This window comes from Homo sapiens, chromosome 10 (genome assembly GCF_000001405.40).
Source record: "Homo sapiens chromosome 10, GRCh38.p14 Primary Assembly".
Lineage (NCBI taxonomy): Eukaryota > Metazoa > Chordata > Mammalia > Primates > Hominidae > Homo > Homo sapiens.
Window position 1 is genome coordinate 94,396,521 of NC_000010.11, and position 27,930 is coordinate 94,424,450.

General features: G+C 41.2%; 1 protein-coding gene across 6 annotated transcripts in view, besides 4 other annotated features; it reads left to right on the forward strand.

The window, feature by feature from the left end:
• Positions 5,769-5,928: an enhancer, noted in NCBI's record as "active region_3789". NCBI's record gives its function as "activates an Ori minimal core promoter by ATAC-STARR-seq in GM12878 lymphoblastoid cells {active_cell/tissue: GM12878}" and the evidence as "EXISTENCE:reporter gene assay evidence [ECO:0000049][PMID:35858748]".
• TBC1D12 (TBC1 domain family member 12) overlaps positions 6,021-27,930 on the forward strand; it is a 133,792-nt gene continuing 111,882 nt past the window's right edge. For 5 of the 6 annotated variants that reach the window (XR_945637.3, NM_015188.2, XM_006717732.5 and 2 more), the window contains exon 1: positions 6,021-7,064. Coding sequence is in view for 5 of the 6 variants with exons in the window: in NM_015188.2 (NP_056003.1) it covers positions 6,094-7,064 (971 nt within the window). In the remaining variant the exon portion in view is untranslated. The remainder of the gene's footprint in view (positions 7,065-27,930) is intronic. The other variant, XM_011539558.4, reaches the window with a different exon arrangement.
• Positions 6,259-6,748: a silencer, noted in NCBI's record as "silent region_2634". NCBI's record gives its function as "represses an Ori minimal core promoter by ATAC-STARR-seq in GM12878 lymphoblastoid cells {active_cell/tissue: GM12878}" and the evidence as "EXISTENCE:reporter gene assay evidence [ECO:0000049][PMID:35858748]".
• Positions 6,819-7,148: a silencer, noted in NCBI's record as "silent region_2635". NCBI's record gives its function as "represses an Ori minimal core promoter by ATAC-STARR-seq in GM12878 lymphoblastoid cells {active_cell/tissue: GM12878}" and the evidence as "EXISTENCE:reporter gene assay evidence [ECO:0000049][PMID:35858748]".
• Positions 7,229-7,528: an enhancer, noted in NCBI's record as "active region_3790". NCBI's record gives its function as "activates an Ori minimal core promoter by ATAC-STARR-seq in GM12878 lymphoblastoid cells {active_cell/tissue: GM12878}" and the evidence as "EXISTENCE:reporter gene assay evidence [ECO:0000049][PMID:35858748]".

A 27,930-nucleotide genomic window follows, 5' to 3' on the forward strand; every position in this document is an offset into this window, starting at 1 on the left:
AATATCCTGAGTTGCTGGGATTACAGGTGTCAGCCACCACACCTAGCTCTAAATTGTTGTATGCCACAGTAATAACAAAATTTGCTTGCTCAAAAGTAGATAGCTACAGTCTAAAATTTGCTTCTTCTTCAAGAAAAGTCATGGAAAAGATTCTGATAAGTACTCTTCAATACAGGTTTCTCATAACTTTAGAGATCATACCATTAGACTAGGCTTAAAAAAAAAAAAAAACAGCTGGACATAGTGGCTCACGCTAAGTTTTGTATTTTTTGTAGAGATGGGGTTTCATCATATTGGTCAGGCTAGTCTCGAACTCCTGACCTCAGGCGATCCGCCCGCCTCAGCCTCCCAAAGTGCTGGGATTACAGGCGTGAGCCACAGCATCTGGCCCAACCATCAATTTTTAAAATGTCACAAAAGGACAAGCCAGGTGCAGTTATGCCTGCCTGTTAATTCCAACTATTTGGGAGGCTGAGCCAGAATGCTTGCTTGAGCCCAGGAGTTCAGACCAACCTGGGTAACATAACAAAACTCAGTCTCTAAAGTGAAAACAATTTTTTTAAAAATTTAAATTATGAAAGGAAAAGTGTAAATATAAAATCCATCATTTTCTTTTCCTGTCTATCTTTTTTTTATCTTTATCAAGCTAGATATGCAGTTTCATACATCATTGTAATTATGGTATGCAATTGTGTATCTCTACTTTTTATTATTATTTTGTAAAACATCTCCATATTTCTGCATTCTGTCATTTTAATTGTATTCATAATGTTTCATCGATATACCTAGTTTTTCCTACGGTTTCATATTATTGATTATTTAGGTGATTTCTAGTTTTTAACTCTTAAACTTTTTGCTATCAGCATTTTTTTTTTTTTTTTTGAGACGGAGTCTCTCTCTGTCGCCAGGCTGGAGTGCAGTGGCGCGATCTCGGCTCACCGCAACCTCCACCTCCTGGGTTCAATCGATTTTCCTGCCTCAGCCTCCCGAGTAGCTGGGTCTACAGGCATGCACCAGCACGCCCAGCTATTTTTCTGTATTTTCAGTAGAGATGGGGGTTTCACCACGTTGGCCAGGATGGTCTTGATCTCTTGACCTTGTGATCCACCTGCCTTGGCCTCCCAAAGTGCTGGGATTTCAGGCATGAGCCACCGCATCCGGCCGCATCAGTGTGCATTTTTAACCATTCATCTGTCTCTTGGTTTGTGGCAGTCCCACTATGGCTTACCAAACAGCAGCTGCCTCGTGATCTTACTATCATTCATTTCCCACACATATCTCACCCTGCTGAGTTAATCTGCAGTAGGCATCCTTTCAGTACTTGTTATCTAACTATAATCTGCAACCTTAGTCTAGTCACCCTCTCTTACCAGCTGGGGTTTTACCAGGCACGCATGGAATTTAAACTATTTACAGAAGTTGAAGATTTCAGTAGCAAACCAATTCGCATAGTCTTATAAAAATTGTACATTCCACTGCTTTACAAAACAGAATGTACTAAATGCCATTGAATTGTACACTTTAAAATGGTTAATTTTATATTATGCAAATTTCACCTCGTGTAAAAAAACAATATACGAGATGTCTGGACATAAGGATTGTAATACGATGGTAAAAATGAGGGTAGCTGCAGGAGTCTAATCTCAATCTTTTATCTTTTCAACCTTTGTCGTTTGCCTAAAGAATTTATCTTGCAATTTTCTTTCTGCTGTCAAACATTTCCTAACTTATTCATGATCTCAGCTCACTGCAGCCTCCACCTCCCAGGTTCAAGTGGTTCTTGTGCCTCTCAGCCTCCTGAGTAGCTGGGATTACAGGAACGTGCCACCTTGTCCAGCTAGTATCAAAATATGTGTACATAAAAATAAAAATTGTCCAGACATCTTCTATATTGCTTTTTTACACTTGAGGTGAAATTTGCCTAATATAAAATTAACGATTTTAAAGTGTACAATTCAATGGCATTTAGTACATTCACAGAGTTGAACAACTATCACCTCTATCTAGTTTCAAAATACGTGCCTGTTCACCTCATTTTCATTCAATTCATTTTATACTCCCAAAAACCTTTATATCCATTAGATAGTCACTCTCTATTTGTCTTTTCCCTCAGTCATTGATAATCACCAATCTGCTTTCTGTCTCTATGGATTTATCTATTCTGGATATTTCATAGGAATGGAATTATATGTTATCTATTTTTTTTTAAGAGATGGGGTCTTGCCATGTTGCCCAGATTGGAATGCAGCAGCTATTCACAGGCATAATCATAGTTCACTATGATCTTGAACTTCTCGGATCAAGAGATCCTCCCACCTCAGCCTCCCGAGTAGCTGGGACTATCCAGGTACACACCACCACAGTGCTTTTCACATTCATCCACCTTGTAGCATGAATCAGTATTTCTTTTCTTTTTCACGTCTGAGTAATATTTGGTTGCATGGATATACCATATTTTGTTTATCAGTTCCCCTGATGATGGACATTTGGGTTGTTTCCACCTTTTGGTTATTATTGGTAATGCTGCTGTGAACATTCATGTAAAACATTTTTTTTTTTTTTGAGACGCAGTCTTGCTCTGTCGCCCAGGCTGGCGTGCAGTGGTGTGATCTCAGCTCACTGCAAGCTCCACCTCCCAGGTTCAAGCGATTCTCCCTGCCTCAGCCTCCCAAGTAGCTGGGATTAAAGGCACGGGCACCACTGAGCCAGGCTATTTTTTTTTTTTCCTCGAGACGGAGTCTTGCTCTGTCACCCAGGCTGGAGTGCAGTAGTGCGATCTCGGCTCACTGCAAGCTCTGCCTCCCCAGTTCACGCCATTCTCCTGCCTCAGCCTCCTGAGTAGCTGGGACTACAGGTGCCCGCCACGACACCCGGCTAATTTTTTGTATTTTTAGTAGAGATGGGGTTTCACCGTGTTAGCCAGGATGGTCTCGATCTCCTGACCTCGTGATCCACCCTCCTCGGCCTCCCAAAGTGCTGGGATTACAGGCGTGAGACACTACGCCCGGCCTTTGTATTTTTTTAGTAGAGATCGGGTTTCACCATGTTGGCCACGATGGTGTTGAACTCCTGATCTCAGGTGATCCACCTGCCTCGGCCTTCCAAAGTGCTGGGATTACAGGCATGAGCCACTGTGCCCAACCCACGTAAAACATTTTTGTTTGAACACCTGTTTTCAATTCTTTTGGGTATACACCTAGGAGTAAAATTGCTGGCTTATAAGTAATTCCATGTTTAACTTATTGAGGAACTACCAAACTGTTTTTCATGGAAGCTGCACCATTTTACATTTCTACCAGAAATGTATGAAGGTTCTAGTTTTTCCACATTCTTTTCAACATTTGTTTTCTATTTTTTTGATTATAGACATCCTGGTGAGTGTGAAGTGCTATCTCATTGTAGTTTTGATTTGCATTTCCTTAATGACTAATGATGTTGAGCATCACTTCATATGCTTATTAATATTCCATTAACATATGTTTCTTAGGAGAAATGTATATTCAAGTCCCTTGCCCATTTTTTTAGTTGGGTTGTTTTTCAGTTGTTGATTTATACAAGTTCTTTATTTATTCTGGATACTGCACTCTTACCAGATATACAATTTGCAAATATTTTCTCTCTTTTTATATTTTTTCCACTCGTGTCCTGAAAGTCATTTTTTCCTTCTGAAATACCTTGATAATAAATGCATTGCTGACTATGCCTTTGCCACTTAGTCCTTTCCTAGGGCCTTCAATAACGCTTATTTTCGAAGACACTTGATGTTTTTATTTTGTTGAGACAGAGTCTCCCTCTGTCGCCCAGGCTGGAGTGCAGTGGTGCGATCCTGGCTCACTGCAAACTTCGCCTCCTGGGTTCAAGCGATTCTCCTGCCTCAGCCTCCTGAGTAGCTGGGATTACAGGCGCCCACCACCACGCCCGGCTAATTTTATTTTATTTTATGCTTTTATTTTTAGTAGAGATGGGATTTCACTATATTGGCCAGGCTGGTCTTGAACTCCTGACCTCAAGTGATCTGCCTGCCTCTGGCTCCCAAAGTGCTGGGATTACAGATGTGAGCCACCACGCCTGGCCTCTTGATGTTTTTTTAAATTGAGTGTTAGGTACATGCATGCCCATTTTATTGACATTTTATTATATAAAGGTTATATTCCCTCTTATATCTGTATGTATAGGTATTTTTATATGAAATAAATTTTAAATGCTTGACAATAATGTCTCCTCTACGACTTCTATTTTCTGTTCTTGCATTCACTAACATACTTTTAGAATGAATGAGTGGTCTATATTCTATATACTTTTATAGAATGAGTGGTCTATATTTTCTGCTTCGTTTTATCCACAACTGATGCCTCTTCAATTTCTTGCAATACAACTTTTTTGTCCTGAAATAATGAAACATTTGGGTCTGTGCCCGACCCTTATCATTATTCTTTCTTCCTAGGTAATGTTACTCATGATTCATCCACCTACTTGCATTATACAGATGACGCCTAATCTGTGTCTCTGAACCTAAACCCTAACCCAAGTTTTATTATTTATTTATTTGAAACAGTTTCCCTCTTGTTGCCCAGGCTGGAGTGCAGTGGTACGATCTGGGCTCATTGCAACTTCAGCCTCTCGGGTTCAAGCGATTCTCCTGCCTCAGCCTCCCAAGTAGCTGGGATTACAGGTGCCCACCACCATGCCCAGCTAATTTTTCGTATTTTTAGTAGGGACTGGGTTTCACCATGTTGGCCAGGCTGGTCTCGAACTCCTGACCTCAGGTGATCCACCTGCCTCGGCCTCCCAACGTGTTGGGATTATAGGCGTGAGCCACTGCGCCCAGCCAACTCAAGTTTTAGAACTCTATATGCTGGATATTTTCAGTCGTTTACTTTACCAGATGTATTTCCCCTATTAATCGTTTTTTTCCTATCCACTTTTCTATTTCTTCAAACCATATCAGTTTCAGTCTCATATCTTTGTAGTAATCATTGGTTACTCTCTCTTCTGTCACTTCTGATCAGTTATCAAGTCTTTCGTCTTTTACTTTAAATATACTTCATTTCCACTCAATGGTCAATCATCCCATTTTAATCCACTATCGCAGAGTGCTGGAATTATTTCAATAGCTCCTCTCTGCCTGACCACTTCCTCTCCCTCCTTAGGTGATAATCTTTTTTTCTTGTTTGAGACGGAGTCTCGCTCTGTCGCCCAGGCTGGAGTGCAGTGGCGCGATCTCGGTTCACTGCAAGCTCCGCCTCCCGGGTTCACGCCATTCTCCTGCCTCAGCCTCCCGAGTAGCTGGGACTACAAGCGCCCGCCACCATGCCCAGCTAATTTTTTTGTATTTTTAGTAGAGACAGGGTTTCACCGTGTTAGCCAGGATGGTCTCCATCTCCTGACCTTGTGATCCACCCGCCTCGGCCTCCCAAAGTGCTGGGATTACAGGCGTGAGCCACCGCGCCCGGCCGGTGATAATCTTTTAAACAGAGGACTGTGATGAAACATGGTGCTAGGTGAGCAAGATAACTTAGGATATCTTTCTTTTGTGTTAGATGAAGTGAAGAAGGGAGGGTGTTGACCCTCCTGGATGAAGTGATGAAGCCCTGAACTGTGGCAATGATGCCGGAGAAGGATGTAAAAATCGTAAAGTCGACTGGTGACCAATTAGAGCTGGAAGGACTTACCCACGCTAACACCTCCCAAATATGGGAGTATTTTACTACCATAAATGAAATACATCAAGTGAATTTTTGCTAAGCGAGCAATACCCGCGCTTCGGTAAGAACTGTCACGCTTAGAGCGGGCCAACCAGCTTCCACCATCCAGATGGCGGATCCTAGATTGGCAGCCTGCGTCTCTCTAGCTACCGTCTCTATGGTTCGGGGAATCTCCAGGTCGGGGCTTGACCGGTCCGACTTTTGCGCGTGCGCGAGTCCTGGCGCGTGCCCGCCCTCAAGCAACTGTCCGACCCAGCGGGTGGGAGGGGTGGGTCTGGGAACGTTGCGGCGGCTGTCGCCGCGGCCCCAGCACCCAGAGCTGTTCTCTGGCCAAGCCTGCGCCTGTAGTCCTTCTTTGCCTCCTGGGGCGGCCGCCACCCACCCCCAGATGGTGGGTCCGGAGGATGCCGGAGCCTGCTCGGGAAGAAACCCCAAGTTGCTCCCGGTGCCTGCGCCGGACCCCGTGGGCCAGGACAGGAAGGTAATCCGGGCCACGGGCGGCTTTGGCGGAGGCGTCGGCGCTGTGGAGCCGCCGGAGGAGGCTGACGAGGAGGAGGAGGCTGACGAGGAGGAGGAGACGCCGCCTCGGCAGCTCCTTCAGCGTTACCTCGCGGCGGCCGGGGAGCAGCTGGAGCCGGGGCTCTGCTACTGTCCGCTCCCCGCTGGCCAGGCCGGCGCCCCGCCGCCCTCGGCAGCCCCACGATCGGACGCCTGCCTGCTGGGCTCGGGCTCCAAACACCGCGGCGCGGAGGTGGCTGATGGCCGCGCGCCGCGGCACGAAGGCATGACCAACGGCGACTCGGGTTTTCTGCCGGGCCGGGACTGTCGCGATCTGGAAGAGGCTCGCGGGCTGGCGCGCGCCGGCGGCCGGGAGTCGCGCCGCCGCCGCCCCTACGGCCGCCTTCGCCTGGAGGGGCCTGGCGACGAGGACGCGGACGGCGCGGGAAGCCCGTCCGATTGGGCCTCTCCGCTTGAGGACCCGCTGCGGAGCTGCTGCCTGGTGGCCGCGGACGCCCAGGAGCCCGAGGGCGCGGGCAGCGACTCGGGGGACAGCCCCGCCAGCAGCTGCAGCAGTAGCGAGGACTCAGAGCAGCGGGGAGTCGGCGCCGGGGGTCCCGAGGAGGGCGCGCCCCCTGCCACCTCGGCCGAGAGGACTAATGGGGGTGCGGAGCCGCGCCTGGGCTTTTCTGACATTCACTTCAACTCTCGCAACACGTTCCAGGTGAGCCGCGGTCAGAGCGCCCGCGATCACCTGCCCCCGGCGGGGCCGCCGGTGCCCTTGCCCGCCGCGGAGCAGGGTCCTGCGGGGGCTTCGGCCCGGGCTCGACGGAGTGGCGGCTTCGCGGACTTCTTCACCAGGTACAGCGCAGGCTGCATGGGACTCGGGGCGGGTCCGGGGCCGGGGCCGGAGCCGGGGTCTTGGTGGGAGTCGGAGCCGGAGCCGGAGCCGGAGCGGAGAGCTTGGTCGGCCGCTTCCGTGCCAGCCCCACACGCGTCAGGACTTAGCTTTGATTTGTCACTGGAGGAAGAGGAACTGGGTCGGCTTTGTGTTTCTATAGGAGAAGTTGTGAGCTCTGTGGACAGCGAGTCTTTCTGTTGCCTTGTCCGCGGGAGGCTGTACCTGCCATTCATACCTGGCTTCTGAGCAGTCAGGTTGGGCCAGCTGTCTAGTGCCACATATGCAGTTGCCTTTTCTGGAAAAGCAGATAACCATCTCCGTCTCCAATTTTTAAAAATTTTACTACAAACATTTAGGTTGTTGGGGGGGTGGTGAGGGGAGGCGGTATGTGTGTACGGGTGTGGTTGTGAAAGAGAGAAGGAAGTCATTTTGTAGAGCTGTTTATTTGCTGTGCTTGCATAGCGTCTAAATCCATTCAAGTGGTTTGGGAATTCTTGAAATTAGAAGTGGTTGTGCTTCATAGTGTTTAATCGTTTGTTTCAGTGGTCTTTATTAAAATGCAGTTTGGTGTTTAGAATTTTATCCCAACTTTTTAAGCCAAAGTAGGGCTTTTACTAAGGAAAGCCTTTTTTCTAATCTCCCAGATAAGCCTCTCCTTTTTTTCCCCAATAACTTTAGTTTTTTTAAAAAATGGTATTGTATTTGTGATTTGACAGGATATTCTTGAAATTAAATTATGGGCCGGGCGCGGTGGCTCACGCCTGTAATTCCAGCACTTTGGGAGGCTGAGGCGGGCGGACTATTTGAGGTCAGGGGTTCGAGACCAGCCTGGCCAATGTGGTGAAACCCGGTTTCTACTAAAAATACAAAAATTAGCCAGGCGTGGTGGCAGGTGCTTGTAATCCCAGCTACTCGGGATGCTGAGGCAGGAGAATCACTTGAACCTGGGAGGTAGAGGTTGCAGTGAACCTAGATCGTGCCATTGCACTCCAGCCTGGGGGACAAGAGCGAAACTCCGTCTTTCAAAAAAAAAAAAAAAGAAAAGAAAGAAATTAAATTATGGTGCTGGACTTCGCAGATTTCAGGATGGAGGTTTGTTGATTTAATAGGGATAAATAAGAGTAGTCAGAAAATACTTAATACACCTTACTGTAAGAGCAGTCCTGTAATCCCAGCACTTTGGGAGGCCGAGGTGGGTGGATCACCTGAGGTCAGAGTTCGAGACCAGCCTGGCCAACATGGTGAAACCCCGTCTCTACTAAAATATACAAAAATTAGCCGGGCATGTTGGCAGGCGACTTAATCCCAGCTACTTGGGAGGCAGAGGCAAGAGAATCGTTTGAACCCAGAAGGCGGAGGTTGCTGTGAGCTGAGATCGAGCCATTGCACTGAAACCTGGGGAATAAGAGCTAGACTTCTCTCAAAAAAAAAAAAAAAAAGGCAGTTTTCCTTGAGTTAGATTTTGACACGCCTTTTTCTTCTTCTTCTTCTTCTTTTTTCTTAAGTCCCCAGGCAAATAGGAAAATATTCCCAACTTGTAAAACTTTCCTTTACAGAGTTCTCCCTACTTTGTTTTTCTACCTTTTCGGGGATCTTGACTATAACCAGAAGTGAAAGAAGCAAATTCTTAGCTCAAGTTTTAGCAGGTTATACAATTAGCGTACATATTGTAGACATAAAGGCACAATTTTCTGATTATAATTGATATTTCTTATTCCTCTTTCTAGTTTATCCTTATTTTTTTGCTTGTATAAATTTACAAATATAAAGTTTCTTAAATCAAAAGTGGAAAATCCTAATTTTTTGTTACTCAGGACAATATATGTAGTAATGACATCTGTATTTGTAATATAGTTGCAAAAATATATTTAAAGCTTGTACTGGCAGTATTCTAAAAGATCTCAAGGTGAGTTAGGTTTATAAATTTGTGACACTGTGTGGCCTTTGGGTGTTTGTTGGTCATATCTATCTTGGTCATGTTTTGAGGTCAGATGTCAGGCAATTTTAGATCTGGGAGGGGCTTTGGAGATAACAAATTCAACTAGTATACTCTTGAGTTCTTGCTCTCTGCCATGCATTGTGAATAGAGATGATTTAGAAAACTGTCCCTTACCTGCAGGTGGGGTGCAGGCTAATGGGGATTAAGTTTGAAGACAGATGCATATATATACATTGCAATTTCTGAACATTTTTTTTTTTTTTTGAGATGGAGTTTCCCTCTTTTGCCCAGGCTGGAGTGAAGTGGTGCCATCTTGGCTCACTGCAACCTCTGCCCCCCTGGGTTCAAGTGATTCTCCTGCCTCAGCCTCCCAAGTAGCTGGGATTACAGGCACCCGCCACCACGCCTGGCTAATTTTTGTATTTTTGGTAGAGACCAGGTTTCACCATGTTGGCCAGGCTGGTCTTGAACTCCTGACCTCAGGTGATCCACCCGCCTCAGCCTCTCAAAGTGCTGGGATTACAGGTGTGAACCACTGCCCCAGCCAACAATGTTATTTATAGGAGGCTTTCATATTATTAACAGTAGGCAGGAATTTTATTTTTTCTTTCATTTCCCATGTGTTTTAAGTAGGCAGGAATTTTGATTTAATTTGTAAATTTTTTTTACTTATAGACTAATAGAACTTAATATAGCTAGATGACATTCATATGGCCACATTATTCATATGTGTCAGAGCACTGGATTTGAAGTCAGAAAACAGGTGCCCTAAAGTTAATTTCTCTAAGCCTCATTTTTCCTGATAGAGGTCTGAATGTCAAGACTCTAGGAGTCAGTGCTTCCTTTATATGACATTCTTGGGAAAGAAAGGGCAGAGTCAGAGAGGCACAGTTTTTCTTAAATGAATTCTGAACACCTTAAAGGCAGGAACTGTGACATTCATCTCTGAATCTATAATACCTAGCCACTGGTATGAAGAACACCATTCAGATTGGGTTGAATAGGTAGCTTTCATGGATTCCCTTTTACTGTGCTCTAGCTAGGTAGTGTAATTTTGAGCAGAATCTCCATCCTCAGTGAAAATAATCAGAAATTACCCCTGTCTCACAACACAACCCAAGAGATCCAACCCTACCCCTAAATGCATAGTTGCTATTCTCAACTCTGAAGCTCCAGGTGAGGGCTCTCTTTGGAAGTGGCTTGTTTGGGATGGAATCTTGTTCTTGGGTGCAACCCTTACTCCCACTTCATTTTTTTAGATGAGGAATCTCATTGTCTAAAGAAGGTAATTTAGTTAGCTAGTGGCATGCTGGGATTTGAAACCAGGATTCCTGATTTCCCAATCCATGTTTATGTTCAGTCTACAACCTTTGTTCACTTTATGGCTCTTTTCTCTCCCACCTATTTATCCTCCATGCTTTCCTTCTTCTTCCCTTCCCACTTCGTTCTTCTCTTTCCCTTAATTAGGCAAAAATCTATACGAGAAACCTTAAAAAAAAAACAGTTTTATGTTTACTTAAGTAAAGAGGGGGGAGCATTTTACACAATGTATCTATTACTACATAGTATTATGTTAAGACACATCATTTTGGTAGATATATAGGAAAAACAGGAATTCATTTAGAATATGACTGCTTTCATTTGGAGGGCCTTAGTGGTCATCTCCCACTTTCCTTCCCTTCCACATGAGGTGAGTTCTATTTCAGTCCCTACTGGGGGCTTGCTTCAGCTTCACATGGACACCTTTCTGTGTTTATGGTGACTTGGCTGTCAGAGCCCTAAAAGTAACATTCCCTCAGATCCTTGACCCTTTCCTGTCTATAAAAATTGAAATGCAGCTGGGCGCAGTGGCTCACGCCTGTAATCCCAACACTTTGGGAGGCTGAGGCGGGTGGATCACCTGAGGTCAAGAGTTCGAGACCAGCCTGGCCAATGTGGCGAAACCCTGTCTCTACTACAAATACAAAAAAATTAGCTGGGCGTGGTGGTGGGTGCCTGTAATCCCAGCTACTAAGGAGGCTGAGGTAGGAGAATTGCTAGAACCCTGGGGGGAGGTTGCAGTGAGCTGAGATCGTGGCACTGCACTCCAGCCTGGGTGACAGATTCCGTCTCAAAAAAAAAAAAAAGTTGAAATGCTAGATGGGTACCACTCAGCAGTAAGGAGGAGTGAAAGCTTTTTTGAAGTCTTTTGTGTTTCCAAGCTTGCCTTAATTCCCCAAAGATCCATTTGTTACTCTTTTTAAAAAATAGTTCTAAGCTGGGCATGGTAGCGTATGCCTGTAGTCCCAGCTACTCTGGAGGCTGAAACAGGAGGATTGCCTGAGTCCAAGAGTTCAAGGCTGCAGTGAGCCATGATTGAGTCACTGCACTCTAGCCTGGGTGACAGAGTGAGACCATGTCTCTTAAAAAAAGTTCTAAACCGTTTTTGTGGGTTCTTCAAGTAAATTCATGTCTTGTTTTCTAAGTAGAATGGTTTATTTTTTACATAGATAGACTCTTTCATAGTTTTCTGTTTGTTTGTTTTTAGGCCATTTAATAGTTTTGAAGCTTGTTAGGATTGCATTGGCATAGTTACTGTTTTTAAAAACATAGACACTTATCTGTGTTTCCTGGTAGTGCTGATTTTTTTTCCCAAGTCTTTATATGAATTTGGTGAATAAAGGGCATTGCTAAGGTAGGGAAGGAATAATTGGAGATTTTTTTCCCTTTATCTGAAAAGAAAATTGACTTTATAGATTTTGAAACATACAGATCCATGTGGCTTTCTCTGTAGTTGTTGACTTCTGAAACTTCCTAAATATTGTGGCAAAAGCTATTTTCACAGAGCTCTTTTTACAATGGTTGGGTTGAGTAGGAAAAACTAAAGGCTCTTTTAGTGATTTCTTTTTACATCTAGATAGTCTCCATTCTCCCTAATATGAAAACCAATGAAGTTTTTTTGTTTTTATTAAATATGACATGGAAAAATCTAAATTCCTATAGGTATAGTTTTTTCTTAATTTAAGGTTCTCAGAAACAACAAAGTCAGCCACGTCCTTTTTTCCACCTAGAATTTGTGCTAGTTGACAAAATCATAATTCATCCATCTGACTGAGCCATCATAAACATCTCTGTCCTATAAGTCTCCCTTACTTGTTCCATAGTGCCTCCACCAGTCAACTAAAATAAAAAACGACAGTTTCAAAGTGAGTTTCTCAAAAAAAATTCCTTTCTCAAATCACTAAAGAAAAGGCAAAATATGAAACTTCTGATGTTTTAAAAGATTTTAAAAGCTCCCCAAAGTGGGCAGCTTTTTAATACTCTGATATAATTATTTACAAGGAGAATGAAGGAAGAATCTATTGAATTCAAACCTGTTTTGTTCAGGATCAACTGTGCTACTATAATTAATGTTTAAAATTTTAGGAAAACTGAAAATAATACGTAATTAATTGCTCTAGAATAAACACAAAAGTCTATTAGGATTTTAGAATGTTGTGAAGCTACCATTATGTTAAATTGGGGAGCTAGCTCAAGAGCCTTTTATATCTTTTCCCTGTGTGTCACTCCTTCCCCTACCTCAGATCCCGTATTTTCTTTTAAAAACCCCCCAAAAAACAACACTCTAGGGACCTACACTAAAGCACCGGAAATCCAGCATTGGTTCAGGACTTCAACTTAGGAATTTGTGGCTTTCATTCAGCTGGCAGATTAGAGATGTGATAACCTGAATACAAATTAGGTAGAACGTATTCAGAAACTCTGATTTTTGTGGAAGTAAGATAATTTAAGCACTCAAACATATTACTTTGAAGTGCTAAATTAAATTAACTTTTTTTTTTTTTTTTTTTTGAGACAGGATCTCATTCTGTCATCCAGGCTTGGAATGCGGTGGCACGGCTCACTGCAGCCTCAGACTCCTGGGCTCAATTGATCCTTTCAGCTCAGCCTCCCAAGTAGCTGAGACTACAGGCATGCACCACTACGACCTGCTAATTTTGTTTTGTATTTTTTATAGAGACAGGGTTTTGCCATGTTTCTCAGATTGGTCTCAAACTCCTGGGCTCAAGTGATCTGCCCGCTTTGGCCTTTTAAAGTGCTAGGATTATAGGCATGAGCTACGCATCTGGCCAAATTAACATTTTTTACTACACACTTGTAAGCAAAGCAGACTATTATTATAATACTAACTTGGAGTTACTTGTTTGATAGAAATCTCTACATTATCCAAAATGGCCATAGAGATTAATTTTTAATTTTTAAAATCTTTTATTTTTAAATAGTTTTAGATTTGTAGAAAAGTTGCAAAGGTAATACCAAGAGTTTCCACACCCCTCCCCCAGTTCCCCTTTGGTTAACATCACCTTATATTTATGGTACATTTGTCACAACTAAGGAACTAACATTTGTACAATGTTATTAATTAAACTTCACATTTTATTCATTATAGAGATTTTGACTAAAAGGTTTTTATTTGGGGAGTGGTTGTGTTACTTTTAAGTGAAAGTTTTTACTTTTAAGTTTTTAGATCTTTTAAGTGGAAGGAACTTCTATGATCACCTTATTCATGCCTTAATACTCCATGGAAAGCCAATGATGCTGTTGACAGATAAATAATCTTTTATTTGCTAGATATGATCTAACAAGATGGTATTAATTTAATATTGGAAATGAGTTATGCATGGTAACTCATTGTTTAACCTAGAACAATGATATTCAAAGCTTTTCACTGCACACTATTTAGGGGCAGTATTTACAAGATTTAAAAACCAGTACCTGTTTGCCTCTGGGAAAAAATATGAAAGTGTATCTTAGTTCTACATAATTTCACAGTTTTCTAAAATTATTTTCATATGTGTTTTTTTTCTTTTCTTTTGTTTCAGAGATGAGGTCTCACCATGTTGCCCAGGCTGGTGTCGAACTCCTGAGCTCAGGTGATCTGCTCACCTCTGCCTCCCAAAGTGCTGGGATTGCAGGTGTGAGCCATCGTGCCCAGCCACAGTTTTTTTTTGGTTGTTGTTCTTGACATATTACTGTGACCTAGGAAGGGTAGGGTTTATTTTTATTTTACAGTTATTTGTCCAAAGTCAGATAGCTAATTAATGTAAGAATTACAACTAGACTGTAGATCTGTTCCTAGGGCTTGAAGCTAATACACTGATTTCTATGAATTATAAATTTAAGAGCAAAAACTTAGCTTTTGGTGTAGTGAAAATACAATGCCTGAGAGATAAGTAACTTGGTTTTTGTCCTAGGTAACAACTTCTGCCATTAAATAATTCTGTTACCTTGGACAAATCACTAAATTTCTGGACTTCGGTTTCCTTATCTATGAAATTGGGAGATTCAGAGTCCCTTCAGTTCTAATATCATGGTATTATAATACACAATTCTGTTGCACACACAGTAGTGGACCACAAATATTTACTGGTTAAATACTACAAATGTGAACTGAGTTAAAGAGAAAGCTGAAAAAAAACAGAATTTTTTTTTCCCTCTGTAAAATGAGAGGCATGCCAGAGATAGGACTATTCCTTTCAACTCTAAATTCCACCTTTAATGTTTCTTTTAGCAAAGGTCTAACTCTGCCTTAGGGTAATCATGATAGAAATATCAGTGATCTTTGTTTAGTTTTTCATGTGAAGATGGCACAGTGCATCAGCTCTTCTTTCTTTTCTGTAGCAAATTCTAGATCTATTTTTTCTTATTTCTTTGAGGTGGGGAGGAGTAGTGAGAGAGAGAATGGGGTAATAAGTACATTTTAGTTAATCAATTAACTGGAATTTAAGCCTTTAACTTCCAGACCATGAGTTATTTCATGAAGGTTGCCACTGTAGCACTTTGATGAACTAGTGCAGTTGTTTGTAGCTTTTGGTATATTCAAAATCACCTGAAAGCACCCAGATATAGTGGCTCATGCCTGCAATCCCAGCACGTTGGGAAGCTGAGGCAGGAGATTTGCTTGAGGCCAGGAGTTCCAGCCTGGGCAGCATAGCAAGACCCCATCTCATTTTATTTAAAAAAATTTAAAAATCACCTAAAAACACATTTAAAAAATTAGATTCTCTAATTCACAGCCTCCGCCTAGTCAGATTCAGGAGACCTATTATTTGGCTGGTGAATTTGCATTTTTAGAAAGTTGCGTGGTTGGGCCCAGTGGCTCATGCCTGCATTCGGAGCCCAAGGTGGGGGGACTGCTTCAGCCAAGGAGTTCAAGGCTGCCTAGGCAACATAGTGAGAGGCTGTCTCTTCAAAAAATAAAAAAACTAGCTGGGCATGGTTGTGTGCACCTGTAGCCACAGTTACTCGGGAGGCTGAAGTGGGAGGATCACTTGAGCCAGCGAGGTCGGGGCTGCAGTGAGCTATGGTCACACCACTGCCTTCCTGCCTGGATGGCAGAGTGAGACTGTCTCCAAAAAAAAAGAGAAAATTGCTCACAGTTGATTCAGATTGTCAACTAGGTTTTAGTGAATTGCTTAATCCTAGGTGGCATCTTCAAATTACAGGATGGTATGGTGCTTAAAAATGCTGGTTCTAAAGTTAGGCTGCTTGGGTTTGAATTAGCTTACTAGCTCTTTAATTCTGGACTTCTCTGGATCTTAGGCAACTCATCCATAAAATGGGGATAATAATAATGCCTAATTCATGGGATTGCCATGAGGGTTAAATAATATTTTACATTCTTTGTTTTAACTATGTGGCATATAGTGAAGATTCAAATGTTATTATTCAGACAGTAGCAAGACTACTATAACACCTTCCTCAGCTTCACCACTGAAATCCACTGATTTGAAGAAAGGAAGATACTGGATGAATTTTTGTGTCCTGTCTGGGGAAACGTTACACAATTTGTGCAGAAGAAGATTTTTAAACATAATTTATACATGGGATTGGATGGATGTTAAAATAGATTCTGATGTAGTGATATGACATTTCCCGAAGTCTTGAAGCTTTGACTAAAAAGCAAATCTGAGAAGGAACCGAAAGGAATGCTGAGAAAGATTAAAATATTTGTATCTTTTATTGTCTTAAGGAACTTTTATAGACAGGCAAAGCCAATTTTTTAGTTTAAGTCCATGAAATGTTTAACTTGGCTTACTCATGCATTTCATACTTAGTATGTTGTGGTAGGAAGGTTTTGGGAAAGAGTGGAAACATTTGGAGATTTTGAGACGATACATCTGTTATCCATCTCTAAATGTATGCAGAAAGGCAAAGTGTGTCCTTTTTGAGACAGCTTTTTTCTCCCTAGGAACTCTGTTAGCTACACTATGAGTTATCTTCAGATAGTTATGGCTGATAGTTGCTTGGACCCTACTACAGTGATTCTTAAATTTAGTGTTTAAAATTACTTGGAAGGGGGAGGGTTGTTAAGAATGCAGATTCCTTGAGACCCAAGTAGATCCTGGGTGGGGTCCACCAGGAATCCAACTTTTTAAAAAGACCCCCAGGTGATTCTGATGCAGGCGATTCCCCGACTATAACCACTGAAATACTGGGCTGGTTAATAGGCAGGTCTCCTCAGGTAGTGACTGAAAGTACAACACACCTTTATAGCTCACATTGCTTTACTGATTTAAAATTGGGTCATATTCAGGTACTATGTAATTGATGAGTATAAACAGAGGTGTATAATAGAGAACAGATTCAAAATACAAATCTTTAAGTACTTTGCTAGCCTTTACTTGGATGAGAAATTATTTCGGACAAATTCATTCTTGGCTTCCTTTTTATTAATGGGAAAAATCTTTTATTTTCATTTTATGCTGTTTAGATAGCCATGCTTGCCTGTCTTGTGAAAAGCTTTAACTTGTAAGATTTTCCTCAGGTCTACTCAGTTTGTTGGCATACCTTTACCTTTCTTATAGCCTATGAAAAAAGTGTTATTTTTCCTTCCTTCTGCTGCTATTTGTAATTCTTTTCCGTGCCTTTAAGAAGAAATCCTGCACACTGCACATGGTTTTCTCCCCTCCAACATTTGCTGCTTCAGCCTTTCTTATGCTTCTTATTTCTGTGGCCAAAATAAGAAAGAGAGGGAAACCCATGTGACTGTCTGGGTTTTCAGCATGCTCTTTCCTGCAATTAAGAGAAGTTTACCTTAGGAAATCAAGCTACAAGTCATGCTTCTTACTTAGAGCTAGTTTGAGAGTGAACTTGATAAGGTGTTTAACTCATCTTTGAATTTGGCTTTTCAGGTTTTTTTTTTTTAATTTGAATTTTATGTTAGATACTTTTTTTGTTAAAAAATATTTCCATCTGCTTGTCTCTAACCCCACATAGATTAAAACATTTTAAATTTGGAACTGAACATAATAATTTTGAAATCAAATTATGTGCTGTTTTCTCATATTTTCCCAAGTACTGTAATGTACAACTACCCATCATACGTTAGGCATTATTTAGAATTTCCAAATCTGGTTTTCATCTAGACTGTTCGTAGCCATCTTTTAGTCAAGTAGGGCAAATACTTCTTTTGTTGTTGTCTCAGGAAAAATTCATTCAAATACTATAATAGTTTACTTTTTTTTTAGAAAAACATAAAATGTTCACATTATTTGCTTTTGAAAAGCAGGAGAAGGAATATAAAATAAAGCTAAAGATAATACATTGTTTCCACGTTATTCTTGTTAAGGTGGTAAGAAGATGATAAAGAAGATTTGAGGGTTTGGAAGAAAGTATGGTAAAGATAATACATTGTTTCCACGTTATTCTTGTTAAGGTGGTAAGAAGATGATAAAGAAAATTTGAGAGTTTGGAAGGAAGTATAGTACGAGAAACTATTAGAGAATGAGTTTGAAGATATTCGTAGAGAGAGAAATTGCTGGAGAGAATAAATGTTAGGTAGAAGTTAGCCATGTAGTTAGTTCTTAGGCCTGTTGGTTTCAGAGTATTACCACAGATTATTTCCATATTTTTCTAATTTTTCTACTTGGCATACCTCAGTGCCTTTGTGGATGTTTCTAGCCACTTGTGTCTTTAAAGTATCTTGTATATCTCTCCTTAACTTCCCTAACGTCCCTGTCTCCCAGTGGCTTCTCAATAGGCCATACTGTGAAACTTTTTTTTTTTTTTTTTGAGACGGAGTCTCGCTCTGTCTCTCGGTCTGGAGTACAGTGGTGCGATCTCGGCTCTCTGCCACCTCCGCTTCCCAGGTTCCAGCGATTCTCCCATCTCAGCCTCTGGAGTAGCTGGGATTACAGGCGTGCACCTCACGCCCAGCTAATTTTTTGTATTTTTAGTAGAGATGGGGCTTCACCATGTTGGCCAGGGCGGTCTCGAACTCCTGACCTGAAGTGATCCGCCCACTGCGGCCTCCCAAAGTGCTGGGATTACAGGCAAACTGAACTATTTTTTAATAACAGGTTGTACATATAAAGTTTAATTTAGGCTCTAAAAGTTTAGGTTGTTAGTATGATAGTTTCAGGTACTAAAATGTACATTTATCAAAAGGTAAAATAAATGCAATATACAGTTGTACACACTGTATTCTTATTTGAGTTCCAGTGCTAAAAGGAAAGGAAAATTTTTCCTACAAGTACCAGGGTAAATCTAGCAAATGGAATTAAAGTCCCTCTTACCCACATGGAAAAAATTCATGGTTCATTACCAGGAAGATATAGTACATAGAAATTTAAGTTCTAAAGTAAGTTATTGAAGTTTTAAATAAGGAAAACATCCCAACTGAATAAGTAGTTTCTGTATTTTTGAAGAGTGATAACATTTAAGTTGCTTTTTTGTACTTACATAAGCCTTAACTCCCCCAACCCCTCATTGACTTTTTAACGTTATTGGTACTACCCAGAGTTATAGAGATTGGTAATCCTTGAATGTTATTTAGAAAACAAAGGACTTGTGGTTCAGAATTCTGTTTTGGTCACCAAAATTTTTGAGTTAAAGACTAATAAAACTAGCCAGGCCCGGTGGCTCATGCCTGCAATCCCAGCACTTTGGGAGGCCGAGGCAGGCGGATCACGAGGTCAGGAGATCGAGACCATCCTGGCTAACACGGTGAAACCCCGTCTCTAGTAAAAATACAAAAAAACTAGCTGGGCATGGTGGCGGGTGCCTGTAGTCCCAGCTACTCGGGAGGCTGAGGCAGGAGAATGGTGTGAACCCAGGAGGTGGAGCTTGCAGTGAGCTGAGATGGCACCACTGCACTCCAGCCTGGGCACTCCAGCCTGGGCGACAGAGCGAGACTGTCTCAAAAAAAAGACTAATAAAACTTTTGATAGGTAATTATCATATAAGGTAACTAGCACACTAATTGAACAAATAACTGGAGGATAATGCCCATCTTTGTAATATACTCCCAGAAGCACAGTAATACTGTCAAAAATACTAGAATAAGGATTTACTTTCAAAACTGGGTGTACAAATAACACAGCTGAGAACTATACTGCATGAAGGGAAAATTTTAGGAGATAACCACTATAAAATTTTCTTGAGTAAAATAATAACTAGCCACTTATTTTAATGAGTAGATAAGATTGTATTGCTCTTCCACAACACCACTGGAACATAAACTTTTGATTTAGTTGTCCATTTAATAGAAACATAACACTATGTAGGGAAAAAAAATACAATTACCTTGGTCAGGATCTGGGTTTCACCTGTGCTACTGGAAGAAAGGTTCTATCATGCATATCATCAGTTCAGGATGTACTTCTACGTCAGACATGAGCAAAATGTCAACAAAGCAAAGCACCAGCAACTACCATACAGCTAAGTGTGTGCTTTTTATTCTCAGAAGGTTTAGACATCTGATAGATGTTATTTAGTCTTGCTTGAATTCTTTTACTAATTTGGAGCTTGGTTTTCTCAACAGAGCCTATTGAGGGTATTAGTTGTTAGAAGGTTCTATGTTGAAGTACAGTGTAGTTCATTGTAATGTTCATAGTCCCAATTTCCCCCCTAGAGCCACAAAATACAATTCAATTCATTTACATGATTACCCTTCAGACATTTAAGATTGCTACAGAACCCTTTTTAGTTCTTATTAATTAGTTTGGAATTTTCTTACTATTTATTCATTCAGCAAATTATTGTGAGTCCTCTATGTATACTAGGCACATAGGATATTAGGTAAACAGAACATTTTATTTAAAAAGTTTCAGATAAGGGAGTCCTATAATATCAATGTTTACAATATTACCTGATAAGTGTTATAAAAGAGGATATGAGGATGCATCAGTACTGAGGAAGGGGTGATTAACTTTGAGACAGGAAGTTAGGAACTTTACAGTAGATGAAACATGAAAGCTTAGTATTTTACTAAAGAAGAGGGTTTGGGTTAGAATGAGTGTGATGACAGGACAAGTAAAAATAACATATATATAGAATTATATATAAAATAGCTCAGCACTTTTTGGGACTGCAGATTCTCATCTGGATGATTGCCTCTAGGGTGCATGAGGTATGTGTCAAAAACTGAGGCAAAAAGGTTGGGTCTAAATTATGGGGGAGCTAAATTTGTCTGACAGAACTAAGTAATTTGAACTGATTCAGTGAGAGGTGGCAGTACAGGGAACATTTGTGGGTTTTTTAAACAATGGAGACATACTTAGAACTACATTTCGGAACGGTGACTTGCATAGCGGTGTGGCAGATGATTTGCAACTTGAGAAACTGGAGCATGGAGATAGTTATGGTAGTTTATGGGTGTTTGTCAGTCTCCTTTTCACAATGTGATATACAGATAGTTGATGTAAATAACATTTTTTAAACCAGTAATATTGGATTAGAGAAAAAAAGTAAATAACTAGATAAATCTTTCAATCTCTGCAAGAAGGGGTGGTTAATAAGTTGAGTGAGACATACCAGTAGCCTTTTTGTGAAGCTTTAAGGAAAATAAACTTTGAACTGGATTTTTGTTTTTGAAGGAATTGAGATGATATGAAAATAGAGTCATGTGAAAAATTATGCTTACCATATTTTGTAAGGAATTTAATGAGGATGGGAAAAGAGCCAGAATAGCTATTTGGCTACATGTTTTGATGTTGCGGATCAGAAAGGAAACAACCTCAGGAAAAACCCTGGAGGTGTAAAATTGTTGCAAAATCAAGGTTTCACATCTAGTGTAAAAGTTCTGTACATTGCTTTATAAAAGTGGACTGGGACAGTATACTTATCAGCCATTTTTGAGGATTGAAAGAGATTAAAAAAAATTGAGACTTCCATAATTACCTCTATGTATATGTGTCTCTTCTTCTTTTTTTTTTTTTTTTGCTACGGAGTCTCGCTCTGTCGCCCAGGCTGGAGTGCAGTGGCGCAGTCTTGGCTCACTGCAAGCTCCACCTCCCGGGTTCACGCCATTCTCCTGCCTCACGCCTCCCGAGTAGCTGGACTACAGGCGCCCGCCACCACGGCTGCCTAATTATTTTTTTTTGAGTTTTTAGTAGAGGTGGGGTTTCACCGTGTTAGCCAGGATGGTCTTGATCTCCTGACCTCGTGATCCGCCCACCTCGGTCTCCCAAAGTGCGGAGATTACAGACGTGAGCCACCGCGCCCGGCCCATGTATGTCTCTTCTACTAAATGGCAAAGCCTCCAGAGACAGAGACCATGTTCTTGTTCATTTTTTTACCTCTGTGTAGAGATATAGATTAAATTGAAGGATAATAAAACCAGAAACTTGGGCCCTGCCACGCTTGAATTTGGTTATCTCCAAGTAAATCTAGCTCTATTAATTCTCACAAAGCCCAACAATCTTTAGTTACCCATGTGCTGGCAAAACAGTCCATGTTTAAAGGAGTAACTACCTAAACATATAGATTTTGGTAAAATACTTGTGGCAGCTGCGCAGCTTTTAAGAAAATCCAGATTACAGCATCTGTAACTGAAATGTTGTAATATAAAGAAAGTGCTGAATTTTGTTTTATAACTATTGCCTTAATGCTATTGCTAGTTTTGAAGAAAATACCTTCTTTAGGTTTTCTTATCAGCCTAACAGATTATTCTCAATTTCTGTAGAACTAGATATGTCTGTTTTTCGCCTTCAATCTTTTATACTTTGGTCTATTATTATTATTATTATTATTATTATATTATTTTTGAGACAGTCTCACTCTGTCACCCAGACTGGAATGCACTGGTGCAGTCTCGGCTCACTGCAACCTCTGCCTCCCGGGTTCAAGTGATTCTCCTGCCTCAGCCTCCCGAGTAGCTGGGATTACAGTCACATGCCACTGTGCCAGGCTAACTTTTGGTATTTCTAGTAGAGGTGAGGTTTCGCCATGTTGGTCAGGCTGGTCTTGAACGCCTGACCTCAAGTGATCCACCCGCATCAGCCTCCCAAAGTGCTGGGATTAGAGGCTGAGCCACTGTGCCCAGCCTTTTTTTTTTCTTTTTTTTTCGAGGCAGAGTCTCGCTCTGTTGCCCAGACTGGAGTGCAGTGGCGCGATCTCGGCTCACTGCAACATCCACCTCCTTGGTTCAAGTGATTCTCCTGCCTCAGCCTCCCGAGTAGCTGGGACTACAGGTGCACGCCACCACGCCCAGCTATTTTTTGTATTTTTAGTAGAGATGGGGTTTCACCATGTTGGCGAGAATAGTCTTGATCTCCTGACCTCGTGATCCACCGGCCTCGGCCTCCCGAAGTGCTGGGATTACAGGCGTGAGTCACCGCGCCTGGCCTCCCAGCCATTTTTTTGATAGCAAACACATACATCTTTTATTTATTCTTAAGGATTTGTACATTTACTATTAAATGTGTTACATATACGGGTTATTTAATGTATATTAAAGTATATTAAGTATATAGGTTATTTAGTATGATTCCATACTAAATAACATTTGTTTATCATCGTGAAGTTTTTAACATTAACCTGCATTTTAGATTCAATAAAACTTAAAAGGCCGGGTGCGGTGGCTTACGCCTGTAATCTTACCACTTTGGGAAGCCCAGGTGGGTGGATCATGAGGTCAGGAGTTCCAGACCAGCCTGGCCAACATGGTGAAACCCCGTCTCTACTAAAAATAGAAAAATTAGCTGGACGTGGTGGCGCCTGTAATCCCAGCTTCTCGGGAGACTGAGGCAGGAGAATTCCATGAATCCGGGAGGCAGAAGTTGCAGTGAGCCGAGATTGCGCCACTGCACTCTAGCCTGGGCGACAGAGCAAGACTCTGTCTCAGGGAAAAAAAAGACAAACTTAGAAGCAGCTCATATAGAATAAACAGCTTTTGATAGGAACAGTCATTTTTGTATTTTGTTTAAAAAGCCTTAACCAGTGTAATTTAGTTTTCTATTTAATACATTTAATACCAAACAGAGCCACAAAGAAAAAAGTGAATCTCCTCTAAGTAGTTTTTATTTTACCAAAATGTGTGGTTTAGATATGGCTTTTGGTTTGGGATACTTACTCCTACTGAAAGAAGCAAGCAGTTAATCTGTTGATGAATGCTGGCAACCATATTTTAAGAACTGATAACTAGAAGTTCAGTTTTATAAATCTGTTAAATTTTTTTATCGCAGTGGAATATATTGCTGTGGACCGAATGTTTGTGTCCCTCCAAAATTCATGTGCTGAAGGCCTAATCCCCAGTAATGATATTTGGAGGTGGTATCTTTGAGGTAATTAGGTTTAAATGAGTTCATCAGGGTGGGACTCTAATGATGGGATTAACACCCTTATAAGAAGAGGCCCTGGAGAGCTTGCTTCCCTTTTTCTGCCCTGCTGCTATATGAGCACACAGCAGAAAGGTAGCTGTCTGAAAACAGAAGAGACTCCTCACCAGACACCAAATTTGCTGGGACCTTGATCTTAGACTTCTCCATCTCCAGAACGTTGAGATACAAATGTCTGTTGTTCAAGCTACCAAGTCGATGATATTTTGTTATAGCAACGTGAGCTAAGACATGCATATGACATAAAATTTACCATTAGTGACATTCAGTACATTCACCATGTTGTACAGCTAGCACCACTATCTAATTCTAGAACATTTCATTACCCCAAAAAGAAGCTCTGTACTCACTAAGCAGTCACTTCCATCCTGCCTTGTCTCCAACCCAGCAATCTGTTTTTGGTCTCTGTGCATTTGCTCAGTCTGGATATTTCATATAAAGGGAGTCATATAGTTTGTCACCGTTTATGTCTGGCTTCTTTCACTTTGCATGTTTTTAAGGTTCATTTATATTGTAGCATGCCTCAGTACAGCATTACTTTTTATGGTTGCGTAATAGTCCATTGCTTGGATATACCGTTTTGTTCATCCATTTATCCACTGGTGGACATTTGGGTGGTTTCCGTCTTTTGGTTGTTATGGATAGTGCTGCTAGTATCATTTGTGTACAAGTTTTTGTTTGAACACTTTTTTCTTTCAAGTTTTATTTTTAATTGACGAATGTATATTTATGGGGCACAATGTGAAGTTTTGATACATGTATGCATTGTGGAATAATCAAATCAGTCTAATTAGCATATCATAAACTCAAACATGTATCATTGATTTGTCCTGAGAACATTAGAAAACCCTCTTTTAGCTGTTTTGAAATATATATTATTATTAACTATAGTCACTGTGCTATGCAGTAGAACACCAAAACTTATTCCTCCTATCTAACTGAAACCCATTTTGTACCCATTGACCAATATTTCCCCTTTTCCCTTTCACTCTCCTCCACCCACCTCCACCTGGTTCCCCCTGTGACCACCCCCTGGCCTCTGGTAACCACTATTCTACTCTCTACTGCTATTAGTCTGACTTTTTTAGATTCCAAATATAAGTGAGATCATGTGGTATTTGTCTGTCTGTGCATGGCTAATTTCACTTAACATAATGTTCTCTCTGTTCATCCATGTTGTCACAAATGACAGAATTTCCTAATTTAAAAATGCTGAATATATTCCATCGTGTACATATGCATTTTAAAATGCATTCATCCATTGATGGACACTTGGGTTGTTTCCATATCTTGACCATTGTGAATAATGCTGCATTTGAACATGAGAGTGTAGTTCCTTTTGGCATATTCCCTGAGCACTGGTTTTTAATTCTTTTGGATATTATGCCCATTAGTGAAATTGTTGGGTTATAGGATAATTCTGTGTTTAACTCATTGAGGAACTGCCAAACTGTTTTCTAAAAGCTGCAGCATTTTACATTCCCACTAGCAATGAATGAGGGTTCCAGTTTCTCTATGTTCTTGTTATTTTCTTTCAGAAAAAAAAATTACAGCCATCCTAATGGGTTTGTAATAGTATTTCTTTGTGATTTTGGTTTGCATTTTCTAACAACTAATGATGCTGAGCATTTATTCATGTTGTTGTTGCCCATTTGTATACCATCTTTGCAAAAATGTTTATTCAAATCCTTTGCCTAATATTAATTGGGCTGTGTGTGTTTTTGTTGTTAAATTATTTGAGTTCTTTACCTATTTTGGATTCTAGACCCTTATCAGATAAATGATTTGCAATTATTTTCTCCTATGGGTGTCATTAAACCTTCTTGGTAGTACCATTTGATGCACAAAAGTAGACAACGTTTTAAATTTTATGTATATACAGTTCTAAGTTTGTGTAACCAGTTTAGTTTGTATTTTAATAGGGGAAATAAGATGTGTATTTAGCTATCTGTAGCACAGGCAGGAAAGTATAGAATGTATTGAAGAGTACAGAGTTTAGCTGATATCTTAGGGTTCATGTAGTTTTTTTTTTTTTTTTTTTTTTTGAGTCAGAGTCTCGCTGTGTCACCAGGCTGGAATGCAGTGTCGCGATCTCAGCTAACTGCAACCTCCGCCTCCCGGGTTCAAGCAATTCTCGTGCCTCAGCCTCCCAAGTAGCTGAGACTACAGGTGTGTGCCACCACACCCAGCCAATTTTTGTATTTTTAGTAGAGACAGGGTTTCACCATGTTGGCCAGGATGGTCTCAATCTCCTGACCTCGTGATCTGCCTGCCTCAGCCTCCTAAAGTGCTGGAATTACAGGCGTGAGCCACCACGCCCGGCTGGGTTCATGTAGTTTTAAGGAACAGAAGCCTACTTAAGCTACCTTATTTATTTTTTCTTCTTTTTCTGGACTCCTATCAGGAAACAGTTTGTTTATTAATTTTTAAGAGATAGAGTCTTGCTCCATAGCCAGGCTGGAGTGCAGTGGCGTGACCATAGCTCACTGCAACCTCAAACTCCTGCGCTCAAGCAGTCTTCTTGCCTTAGCCTTTTGAGTAGTGGGGACTACAGGTACCGTGCTTGGCTATTTTCTTTGCTGTTTTTTTTAGAGATGGGTGTTTCAGTATGTTGTCCTGGCTGGTTTTGAACTCCTGGCCTCAAGCAATCCTCCTGTCTCAGCCTCCCAAGTTGTTGGGATTACAGGTGTGAGCCACCACACCTGGCTAAGCTACCTTAAATAAAGTAGAATTTATTGTTAGCATATAATAGGCATCTTGTGGGCATTTTGAAGATAAAAAATAAACTAGGCTGGGCACTGTGGCTCAAGCCTGTAGCCCCAGCTACACAGGAGTCTGAGGCAGGAGGATCATTTGAGCTCAGCAGTTTGATGCTGCAGTGAGCCATGATCACGCCAGTGCACTCTAGCCTGGGTGACAGAATGAGGCCCTGTCTTGAAAGAAAGAAAGAGAAGCAGAGAGAAAAAGATAAAGCAAAAAAAGAAAATAAGTAAAATAAGAAAATAAACTATACCTGGATCACAGAGTGCCAGGAACAGTGGTTTTTCTGCCTTCCAAGAGATGCTTGGTTTTTCAGCTCTTTTCTGCCTCCTGATTGTTCAATGCATGCTTTCTACCTACAAAGGCTCTGTGAAGCTGTACCAGCTCTACACGAATTATCAGTTCAAGCATTCACCATCTTTTTTTTTTTTTTTTTTTTTTGAGATGGAGTCTCACTCTTGTTGCCCAGGCTGGAGTGCAGTGGCACGATCTTGGCTCACTGCAACCTCCGCCTCCCAGGTTCAAGTGATTCTCCTGCCTCAGCCTCCTGAGTAGCTGGGATTACAGGTGCCCGCTACCACGCCCGGCTAATTTTTTTACTTTTAGTAGAGATGGGGTTTCGCCATGTTGGCCAGGCTGGTCTCGAACTCCTGACCTCAGGTGGTCTGCCTGCCTCAGCCTCCCAAAGTGCTGGGATTACAGGTGTGAGCCACTGTGCCTGGCCTCATTCACCATTTTTTAACTTTCTCAATCTCTAAGGCTTCTATTAAAAAACTTGGGGGGTCTGCTTGTCTTAGCCTGTGTATGAATTTTTCTCTGTTTTATCAGTGGTACAGTTAAATCAGCTCTGACTGAGGGCCCGGATCATAAACTACAAAAATAGCCACTCTGGGCTACTGTTTCAGAGAAGGAATGGCAGAGTGGGAGTAGGTTGTAGGCATGCCAAAACCACATACAGTCAGATGACCCTTTCTGTCTGTGGGTTCCACATCTATGGATTCAACCAACCTAGGATCATAAATGTCCAGAAAAAATATTTAGTCTGTACTGAACATGAACAGACTTTTTTCTTGTTATTCCCTAAAAAATATAACTATTTACATAGCATTTACATTGCATTAGGTATTATAATTAATCTAAGATGATTTAAAGTATACAAGAAGATGTGTATAGGTTATATGCAAATAGTGCACCAGTTTATATAAGGGACTTGAACATCTGAGAACTTTGGTATCTGAGGGAAGTCCTGGAATCAGTCCCCCACAGATACCAAAGGACAACTGTATATTTTTCCTAGTTGTAGAAAGAGAGTAGTAGGAAATAATATTGTAAAGATAATTTGTGTCCCCATTGTGGAGAGCTTTTAATGCTAGGGTAAATAATTAAAACTCTTCCATAAATAGTAGGGAGTTACTGAGGATTTGGGGACAAGGAAGTGAAATATTCTGTTATTTTCTGCTTATACTTGGTAGTGTTTTCTAGTTGTAATGGCTTATCTGTCATTTTCTTCCTCTCTCCTGTGTTTGT